General features: G+C 40.9%; 1 long non-coding RNA gene across 3 annotated transcripts in view; it reads left to right on the forward strand.

The window, feature by feature from the left end:
• Nucleotides 1-11,295, forward strand: part of PSG11-AS1 (PSG11, PSG2 and PSG5 antisense RNA 1) — a 23,021-nt gene continuing 11,726 nt past the window's right edge. For 2 of the 3 annotated variants that reach the window (XR_007067262.1, XR_001754099.3), the window contains exons 1-3: nucleotides 1-511; nucleotides 6,036-6,299; nucleotides 7,260-7,395. This is a non-coding gene — a long non-coding RNA (PSG11, PSG2 and PSG5 antisense RNA 1). Of the gene's footprint in view, nucleotides 512-6,019; nucleotides 6,300-7,259; nucleotides 7,396-11,295 lie in introns of those variants that run through there. The other variant, XR_001754100.3, reaches the window with a different exon arrangement.

An 11,295-nucleotide genomic window follows, 5' to 3' on the forward strand; every position in this document is an offset into this window, starting at 1 on the left:
TTATCCCTGGGCTTAGTGGAATTCAAATACCTGACCATAGGACACCAAGGGCTTTGGGACCTGAAAGGCACATCATGTCCTGGTGACATCTGAGTTACCTGGGGCATGCACAGCCAGCCTCCAGCATCCCAGGGAGAGCTGTGTATGGGGTCAGGCTCAAGCAGGTCCCAGGGCACCAGTGACCCAATGGGTGACTCAGACTCCCATGGCACCTGCTCCTTCTGTTTCTCCCTCCACCATATATATGAGCTCATGGGAAACACTGTGTGACCTCTTACAGAGGAGGAAAGTGCATGGACTTCCAGTTTCTAGAACTGTGATACAATAAACTCCTGTTGCTTATCTACTCCTCTACAGTATTTTGTCATGGCAGCCCTAGCAAACTACTACAGGGACTGTGAGGGTTAAGATGACACCAAACATCAAATGCCACTCCCTGTTCCAACACTGAGACCATTCCACAGCCTCTGAATGACAAGACAGGCCTTCAAAATCAAGACCACCTGGCTAGGTAAGAAGTACTTTAGTCACACCACTTCTGAACTTTCTCGCCTACCTGCAGGGCAGGAATTTTTACCATTTTCAAATGAGGACACTGAAGCCCAGAGAAGTAGTGCTATTTCCTGATGGATAAGAGGTGATATATTTCAGTCCTCAGACCAACTCTGAAGTAGCAAGCTTCTAGTCTTAAGAGTCAAACTTGGCTGGGCATGATGGTTCAAGCCTGTAATCCCAGCAATTTGGTAGGCCGAGGCGGGTGGATCACCTGAGGTCAGGAGTTCGAGACCAGCCTGGCCAACATGGTGAAACCCTGTCTCTACTAAAAATACAAAATTTAGCCGGGTGTGGTGGTGTGTGCCTGTAATCCCAGCTACTTGGGAGGCTGAGGCAGGAGAATCACTTGAACCCAGGAGGCAGAAGTTGCAGTGAGCTGAGATTGTGCCATTGCACTCCAGCCTGGGGGACAAGAGCGAGACTTCATCTCAAAAAAAAAAAAAAAAAAAAAAAAGAGAATCAACCTTGAGCCAGGCACGGTGGCTCATGCCTGTAATCTCAGCACTTTGGGATGCCGATGAAGTCAGGAGTTTGAGACCAGCTGGGCAACATGCTAATACCCTGTCTCTACCAAAAATTTAAAAATTAGCTGGGTATGGTGGCTCATGCCTGTAATCCCAGCTATTTGGGAGGCTGAGGCACAAGGATGGCATGAACCCAATAGGTGGAGCTTGCAGTGAGCCAAGATTGTGCCATTGCACTCCAGTCTGGAGTGCAAAAAAAAAAAAAATCCATCTCAAAAAACAACACAAAAAGAATAAATATGTGGCTTCATGACTGTATATTACTGGGCTTCTGACCTAGACTAAAAGATCAGGGAAGAGTTTCCTGAAGAGAAAGTGAGCTATGATGGGCCCACTGTACTCCAGCCTGGGCAACGTAATGAGGCTCTGTCTCAAGAAAAACATGCAGAATAAAACCACAAAAAGATACCACTACAGAACTATTAGAATGGCTAAGATTAAAAAGAGTGACCACGCCAAGTGTTGGCAAGGATGTGGAGGCACTGGAATGTTCATGCTGCTGGTGGGAATGTAAGATGGTACAACTGCTATGGAAAGCAGTCTGGCAGCCTCTAAAAATTTCAGCATACACCCACCATGCAACTCGGCAATTCCATTGCATTCCCACATTTTTTTTAGTTAAAGGAAAATCAAGTGTAATGATCTTTAAAGCATTTTTGCCTGACAAATAGATGAAATGTGGGTAGTAGCCCAACACTCCCTGGTCAGTCTATACAGGGCATATGTGGCCTCATGGCCCCCAGGAAATATGGCTGTTTCCACAAGTGCTGAGTCCACTCTCTCCATCAATCCTAAGATGTTAGTTCCACAGCACTGCCAGCATTGGGCTTTGTCTATTTCTTTCTTTGTCATTTTTGAGAGGGGGTCTTTCTCTGTCACCCAGGCTGAAGTGCAGTGATGCAATGTTGGTTGTAATGGCTCCCATTTCATTTCTAATTGATCTTATTTGGCTCTTCTCTCCTCTTTTCTTGGTTAATCTTGCCAATGGTCTATCAATTTTATTTATTTTTCCCAAAAATCAGCTTTACATTTTATTTATATTTTGTATTATTTTGTTTCAATTTCATTTAGTTCTACTCTGATGTTGGTTATTTTCTTTCTTCTGCTGGGTTTGGGTTTGGTGTGTTCTTGTTTCTTGAGTTTCTAGAAATGTAACCTTAGATTGTCTATTTCTGCTCTTTCAGGCTTTTTGATGTAGGCATTTAAGGCTATAAACTTTTAGCATGCTCTTTGCTGTATTCCAGAGATTTTGATAGGGTGCATCACTATTGTTCAGTTAGAAGAATTTTTAAATTTCCATCTTGATTTCATATTTGACCCAATGATCATTCAGGAGCAAGTTATTTAATTTCCATGTGTTTGCATGGTTTTGAAGGTTCCTTTTGGAGTTGATTTCCAGTTTTATTCTACTGTTGTTTGAGAGAGTACTTCATATAATTTTAATTTTCTTAAATGTATTGAGACTTGTTTTGTGGCCTATCATGTGGCCTATCTTGAAGAAAGTTCCATGTGCTGATGAATAGAATGTATATTTTGTGGTTGTTGGGTAGAATATTCTGTAAATATCTCTTAAGTCTATTTGCTCTAGGGCATAGTTTAAATCCATTGTTTCTTCCTTGACTTTCTGTCTTGATGACCTGTCTAGTGCTGTCAGTGGAGTACTGAAGTCCCTCACAATTATTGTGTTACTGTCTATCTCATTTCTTAGGTCTAGTAGTAATAGCTATATAAATTTGGGAGCTCCAGTGTTAGGTGCACATATATTTAGGATTGTGATATTTTCCTGTTGGACAAGTCCTTTTATTATTATATAATGTCCCTCTTTGTCTTTTTTAAGTGCTGTTGCTTTAAAGTTAGTTTTTTTGATATAAGAATAGTTACTCCTGCTCACTTTTGTGGCCATTTGCATGGGGTGTCTTTTTCTACCCTTTTACCTTAAGTTCATGTGACACTTTATGGTTAGGGGAGTCTCTTGAGGGCAGCAGATACTTGCTTGGTGAATTATTATCAATTCTGCAATTCTGTATCTTTTAAGTGGAGCATTTAGGCCACTTACATTCAATGTTAGTATTGAGATGTGAGGTACTGTCCCATTCATCCTGCTATTTGTTGCCTGAATACCTTGGTTTTATTCATTTATTTATTGTATTTTTGTTTTATAGGTCCTGTGAGATTCATGCTCAAAGAGGTTCTGTTTTGATGTGTTTCCAGGATTTGTTTCAAGATTTGGAGCTCCTTTTAGCAGTTATTGTAGTGCTGGCTTGGTAGTGGCAAATTCTCTGAGCATTTGTTTGTCTGAAAAAGACTGTTATCTTTCCTTTATTTATGGACTTTAGTTTTGCTGGATACAAAATTCTTGACTGTTAATTTTTTTTTTTTTTTTTTTTTTTTTCTGAGACGGAGTCTTGCTCTGTCACCCAGGCTGGAGTGCAGTGGTGGGATCTCAGCTCACTGCAACCTCTGCCTCCTGGATTCACACCATTCTCCTGCCTCAGCCTCCTGAGTAGCTGGGACTACAGGAGCCTGCCACCAGGCCCGGCTAATTGTTTTTGTATTTTTAGTAAAGACGGGGTTTCACCATGTTAGCCAGGATGGTCTCGATCTCCTGACCTTGTGATCCGCCCACCTCAGCCTCCCAAAGTGCTGGGACTACAGAAGTGAGCCACCGCGCCTGGCCTGATAATTATTTTTTTAAGGAGGCAGCAGATGGGTATGCATGCTCATTCAGGTGTTCTTCCCTTATTGAAGATTAGTAACATCACATGTGTTGAAAAGCATTTGGGATTATTTACTTAATTGATGAGTACTCATTTATTTTTATGTTAATTTGATACCACATATAAACAATATATTAACATAGGTAGGGGCATATACATATGTGATATGTGATACAACATAGAACATATACATGTGCACATAAAGATAGAGGGAGACAGAAACACTTCAGATTTTTTATTTTAAAACTTTATGCATGAACCCAAAAAACTCACTGTTAAAAAAAAGACAGCTGGATTTAAATTGTGCTTTTGTAAATAGAAAAAGATAACATTTATCTGAGGAAGTCCTTGCTGAGTTTTAGAGAAAGTAGGTAGTAAATTTACATCTCAAAGCACACACACACCCCCACACACACAGAGAGAGAGAGAGAGAGAAGGAATTTGGGTGTGTTCAAGGAAGATTAAAAGTAGATGCCAAGGTAACACAAAAATGATAGAAATTTATAACAGCATTTTATAAGGAGACCAGTTTTATTTACATACATAGCTTTTATTTTGGTCTCTGTTTTCCAACTGTACTCCAGGAAACACACTACACAGGCTCCCTTTTTAAGTGCTGGTGGGCCAATGCACATGCAGACAGCCCACTTTAAGGGAAGAATCAGGGGAGAAGAGATGCAGACCCCAGAATTACGCCAACATAAAAAACCTAAGTCAAAGGTCAAACCCACACTTGAAATCTCATCGCCTGTTTCACCCTGTTTTCAGTGTACTTTACTTTCTTTAATTTCTGCTCTAAAGCTTTTAAATAAACTTTCACTCTTGCTCTAAAATTTGCCTATGTCTCTTCTTCTGCCTTATGATGCTTAGTTGAATTCTTTCTTCTGAAGAAGCAAGAATTGAGGCTGCTGCAGACTTGTATAGATTTGCTGCCATTAATATACTTTAGTGCCATTCTACATGATAGAATATATATACTCTTATATTTATACATATATATATGTAAAATATGTATTCATAGAGGCCTTGAATCTACATTCTTGCTGCAGTTTATGTAAACAATCCAGGTATAAGACTAAAACTTATTTTGGAAATACATTGGTCCCATATGATTTCTGTTTCATAAAAATGGGAGACAGGAGGGGGAAAATTATTTTTCAGAAGAAAACAACAAAACAACGGCTATTAAATTTGTTCATTTTTTTTTTAATTTTGTTATTTACCTACAATTTGGACTGAATCCTAAATTTTTTCCTGGCTACAAATTTCAAAACTAATGGTTTCAGAATTTTCTCCCATTTTTCTTCCATTTTGGTATATTATAAATTAAAACTGTGCTTTTTAAATTTTTATCTTTTTTTTATTACACTTTTAAGTTCTGGGATACATGTGCAGAACCTGCAGGTTTGTTACATAGGTATACACGTGCCATGGTGTTTTGCTGCACCCATTAACCCATCATCTACATTAGGTATTTCTCCTAATGCTATAACTCCCCTGGTCCCCCACCCCTCAACAGGTCCCAGTGTGTGATATTCCCCTCCCTGTGTCCATGTGTTCTCATTGTTCAACTCCCACTTATGAGTGAGTACATGCAGTGTTTGGTTTTCTGTTCCTGTGTTAGTTTGCTGAGAATGGTGGTTTCCAGCTTCATCCATGTCCCTGCAAAGGATATGAACTCATCCTTTTTTATGGCTGCATTGAATTCCATGGTGTATATGTACCACATTTTCTTTATCCAGTCTATCATTGATAGGCATTTGGGTTGGTTCCAAGTCTTTGCTATTGTGAATAGTGCAGCAATAAACATATGTGTGCATGTGTCTTTATAGTAGAGTGACCTATAATCCTTTGGGTATATACCCAGTAATGGGATTACTGGGTCAAATGGTATTTCTTGTTCTAGTTCCTTGAGGAATCACCACACTGTCTTTCACAATGGTTGAACTAATTTACACTCCCATCAACAGTGTAAAAGCGTTCCTATTTCTCCACATCCTCTCCAGCATCTGTTATTTCCTGACCTTTTAATGATCACCATTCTAACTGGCATGAGATGGTATCTCATTGTGGTTTTGATTTGCATTTCTCTAATGACCAGTGATGATGAGCTTTTTTTCGTATGTTTTTTGGTCACATAAATTTCTTATTTTGAGAAGTGTCTGTTCATGTGCTTTGCCCACTTTTTGATGGGCTTGTTTGGTTTTTTTCCTTGTAAATTTGTTTAAGTTTCTTGTAGATTCTGGATATTAGCCTTCTGTCAGATGGATAGATTAAAGCTTGCAAGCTGAAACTCAACAACTTATGTAAACTTCTGGAGAAATCACAGCAACTTACATATAAACAACCCTTGTGCCTGCTGATGTGTGGACTACAGAAAAGGTACACATGAACACTGTATTCAGACTGCAATTTAGAGAAATGTGTCAGATTACCACTGCAATTGGAAGATGCTTCAGAAACTCTAGAAAACCTAGTCTATAGACTGCTCCAGACATTACAGGTGAGCCAAGATACAACTGAAAGGGTTAGAGTGGTGTTTGCTAAACGAATTGCTCTAATTGAAGCAGCAGTTGTGTGACTTTAATAAGGTTCCAGGATTATACTGTCCCTTTGTTGCTGTGACTTCCCTTTGCCCTTTTCTGATTTGTCTTTATCCCTTTTCCATGGGACATGACTTCTTAAGAATGAGCCTTCCTAGTGATGCAGGATCAGATGAAACTTACAGTCACAAAGTCATGTCTTCTACAATGTTTTGTCTGAAAGCTTTTGAAGAATTGGGGGGCCAGCTGTGCTGGCACAGGCCTGTAATCCCAGCACGTTGAGAGTCCAAGGCAGGAGGATCACTTGAAACCAGGAGTTTAAGACCAGCCTGAGCAACAAAGGGAGACCATGTCTCTGCAAAACATAAAATAAATCAAATTAGCCAGGTGCAGTTGTGCATGCTTCTAGTCTCAGATACTTGGGAGGCTAAGGCGGGAGGACCGCTTCAGCCCAGGAGTTCAAGGCTGTAGTGAGTACACTCCAGTCTGGGTGACAGAGCAAGGTTGTGTCTCTAAAAGAAAAAAAAAAAAAGAAAAGAAAAAGAAAAAGAACGGGGTAAACAGGAAAGCCAAAAATCTTGGGCATCTCCAGATGATTGCCTGAACGAATTGTTTTTTCTTGGCTTCAAAACCTTTCAAGATGTATATATCTTTGTAAAAGAAAGACATGCCAATTGTAACTTTAAGTGAGCAATCAAAATCTAGCTCCTAAAACTGAAGTATTTTAACTCTCATTCTGATAATATTTATTTTCTGAGGCACAGAAGAAAGACAAGATTAGATTAATTGTTTTTCTGCCCACTCCATCTCTTCCGACCTGCCTTCTCCCCTTTAATCAAATGTATAAATACTAAGCCTCCTGAAATCTCTTCAGAGAAAACACAAGCCACAGAGATTTTTTGCAACTCATGTTTTCCCAGGGTTCACTCTCAAGCTCTGGCTCAATAAAACTCAATTGGTCAAGACCCTTGCCTCAGTCAGTCTTTCTGGATATCCACCATGAGTCCTGCAAAGCCCTTCAGTAATCTATTGCCTGCCTAGGTGATGTGTACCCAGGTGAGTCAGGTCTTCATGAGTCAAACACTCGTCTTCCTTTTCTGTCTTTCCCAACCCTACCACTCAGTGCTGTGTGCTCTGATCTGACCCCAGCTCCCAGGTTGTTTGTATTGGTCTAAGAAAGCAAGACCAGGAGGGGCAGGTTGAGAAGGAAGTAAGAGGCCAACAGCCATGGAAAGTGGCACGTGGGGCTGTCATTCCTCAAAACCACATACCCTGGGTGCATTTTGTGAATTTTTCTGGATTCAGAATCTTTTCCCTGTGTGTCTATCTAGAAAATCACCCTCCTCCTACTTTCCTCTCATTACACTTTCTGTTTCTGGTGCAATCGTTTATGTCCAGAGAATGGCCATGCAAATAGTTGACAATAGAATAAAAAATGACTTTTTGTGAGATTTGGAACCTGGCCTTTCTTTTTTCCAAAAGAGATTGAGGTTTCTAAAAGCTAGCTTTTATGCAGGGCTGTGCAGTTGTGAGTGTAGTTTTAGGGAACAGGTGCATAAGTGAAGGGTGAGACAGAAAACAAAATGCTGGCTGTTTGTCAAATCCTGAAAATAATTTTTGAAGGTGGATGTCATTCAGGAGACCTTGTAAATCTTAGAGTGTCCTCTTACCAGATGAAGTGGAGGATGAGGTTGAATTATGGAGTTAGGTGACAGTGGGTACATACTTCTCTGCCTCAGTTTTTTTTTTTAATCTGTAAAAATGGGGATGGAGGCACTTGGGATTTTTTGTGAGGAGTGTAGTTACCTGGAAAGCTCTTACGATAGTGCCTCGTGCATAGTGAGTGCTGCATTAGTGTGAGCTATTATAATTATGGGAATAGACAAAGGTGCCACCCTGGCCATCCAGAGTGGGGAGGTATTTTCCAGTCAGGGTCCAGGCAGGCCAGCTGGAGATGAAGCTGATTAGTGGGGAAGCTTAACTTCCAGGAGTGGAAGAATTTAGGAGGAGTAAACAGAATGCACAACATTCTGTAAACATGCCTTTACCCAACAGTAGGAATACTCAGAGTGGGTGTGTCTTCCGTGGCAATCATTATCTCCTGGGAATCTAAGAATGTGTCCTAGAGTCAAATGGCTTTGATGTAAGCCAAACCCAGAAATGGACTTCAGGGCTGCCTGGCACATAGCATTCATTCATCTTGAAAAAGGAAAGCATTCATCTTGCTAAAGGAATCCCCTCTTCTGGCCCAGGCCATTATTTTTGTTTTTGTACTATCCTAATTTTTAAGATGTAAGGAGAAAGACCGAAGAATAAAATAATGAGGTACATGTATGAAATAACAGGGTAGAATTGAGACTGGTACGTGTAAGTTAAGAGAAATTGTGTATAAATTTTGTGTGAACAGAAAAAGGATTTCTTGTTGCAAACAGACCTCTCCATATAAATAATACCCATTGCCTTGAGTGGATAGCAGACGGCATCACAAGAATATTCCAGCAGAGTCATGAGAGAATGGGTAGTGTGGCTTCTTTAATTGGCAGGTTAGACTGAGTAAGTTACTGAAGAGAAAGGAGTTGAAGGAGAAGATGGGTGAGGGCAAGAAAAATGGGAAGGTGAAAGGAAAGGACTGAAAGGAATGTTTACCAAGGGCTCATCAGGTACCAGGCTCTGTGACTAATGTCTCACACATGTTAATTTACTCTTCCACTGTCATTTTCTGATGCAGTAAGAGTCAGCCTTACACTGCAGAAGAGGAAAGAGGCTGAGGGAGGTCAAATGAGTGGCCCAGGGTCATCCAGCCACTTCATAGCAGAGCTAGTGTGTTTCACTGTGGTTTGTGCAGACAGAAAAGTGAGACATGGAAGGAAGGCAAAACATTTTTGCTGTGGGTGATGTTTATGAAAGTGACCTGTATGAGGCAGAATAATGGCCTCTTAAAAATGTCCACATCCGGGCCAGGCGCGGTGGCTCACGCCTGTAATCCCAGCACTTTGGGAGGCTGAGAAGGGCAGATCACGAGGTCACCAGTTCGAGATCAGCCTGACCAACATGGTGAAACCCCGTTTCTACTAAAATGCAAAAACTAGCTGGGCGTGGTGTCGGGTGCCTGTAATGCCAGCTACTTGGGAGGCTGAGGCAGGAGAATCATTGAACCTGCGAGGCTGAGATTGTAGCGAGCCAAGATTGTGCCACTGCACTCCAGCTGGGGCAACATGAGTGAAACTCTGTCTCAAAAAAAAAAAAAATCCACATCCTAACTGTTGGAACACATGCCTTTACTTTTCTTGGCAAAAACACTGTTCAAAGGTGATGAAGTTGAGTATCTTGAGATGGAAACCTTATTCTGGCTTATCTGTGTGGCTCCCAGTGTCATCATAAGGGTCCTCTTAGTGAAAGAGAAAGGCAGGAGGGTCAGGGTGAGAATGATGCAGCCTGAGAGACTCCACTGGCCATTGCTTGCTGTGAACATGTGTGATAAGACAAAATTACAACGAATTTAGTAATAGATGTAATTGGCTTTTATTTGTGATTTATGATTTGAGGCAGCTCTCCCTCTACAGATGCCTCAGCATCCCAAGTAGCTGGGACTATATTGCTGGATCTGGCCAGCAGCCTGCAATGCAACAGGGCTCTTTCTTTGTTCCCAGGCAGATCGGCAGGTTGAGAAATAAAAGACACAAACAAGATAGTGAAAGCTGGGTCCAGGGGGGTCACCGCCTTCTGATCCTGCGATGCTGCCAATGCACTGGATATACCAGCATTTATTATTAAGTTTAGTGAGAGTGTTGGTAGGTTAGTGAGGGATTTAGGGTCATTTATATGCTCTCTATAAGGGTCACATTCCATTCCCAGAGCTATGGACATCTGCTTTTCTGGGATAGGAATCTTGGTTATGTGAAACCTCCCTGACTGCATGTCCGTTCATAGGCTCTCTGCAGGGGGAAGCACATCACGTGCTGTTGGCTCATTCTGGCAGTCCAACCTTGCATTTGTCTTTTCACAATCCTGCATGCAATTTTGTGTTTACAATAATCAGGTGCATTTCATCTTTTATTCCATAGCAATAGTTTCAGGGGGTCTCCCTACATCTCCCCCTTTTCTCTGATTTCAATGAACCATAGCAATCATAGCTTGGCACTGATCACGATTGGATTGAAGAATATTTTTTCCAATTTTACACATGAACAGTAAACCAATAGCACAAATTATACACAGAACAAAATTAATGATAGTGGATCCTCCCAAAGATTTTACCTATTGAATGGGGTTGAGATTAGATAACCCCTCAGAGATACTGTCTAAAACTTCAGCACTGGGTAAAGCAGTTAAGTGTGCTTGAGAGGCTTCAAAAATCTGTTCTTTCAGCTTGCTTATGTCTAAACTTAATTTATATTCACTTCCTTGTAAATGGGATTTTACTGATTCCCAATTGTGAAAAGACTCATTATATTGGAACAGAGTTATACAAAAATCAGAAGTATTCCAATCACGTTGCATTTGTAATCTATGTTCTAAACTCATAATTCTGTCTCCCATCCATATAACAGAAGCACATCCCATGCTGTAGGCACATTCTGGCAGCCCAACCTGGCATTGTCTTTACACAATCCTGCATGCAATTTTGTGTTTACAATAATCAGGAGCATTTCATCTTTTATTCCATAGTGATAGTTTCAGGGGGTCTCCCTACAGGACTACAGGTGCACGCCACCATGCCCGGCTAATTTTTGTATTTTTAGTAGAGACAGGGTTTCACTATATTGACCAGGCTGGTCTCGAACTCCTGACCTTGTGATCTGCCTGCCTTGGCCTCCCAAAGTGCTGGGATTACAGATGTAAGCCACTGCGCCCAGCCCATAAATCAAACATTTCTTTGAGTTTTTGTAATTCCAGCCCAAGAGAAACCATTTGATATTTGAAGAATGGCTGCACACAAACATTTGCACACAAATA

This window comes from Homo sapiens, chromosome 19 (genome assembly GCF_000001405.40).
Source record: "Homo sapiens chromosome 19, GRCh38.p14 Primary Assembly".
In the NCBI taxonomy this organism is placed as follows: domain Eukaryota; kingdom Metazoa; phylum Chordata; class Mammalia; order Primates; family Hominidae; genus Homo; species Homo sapiens.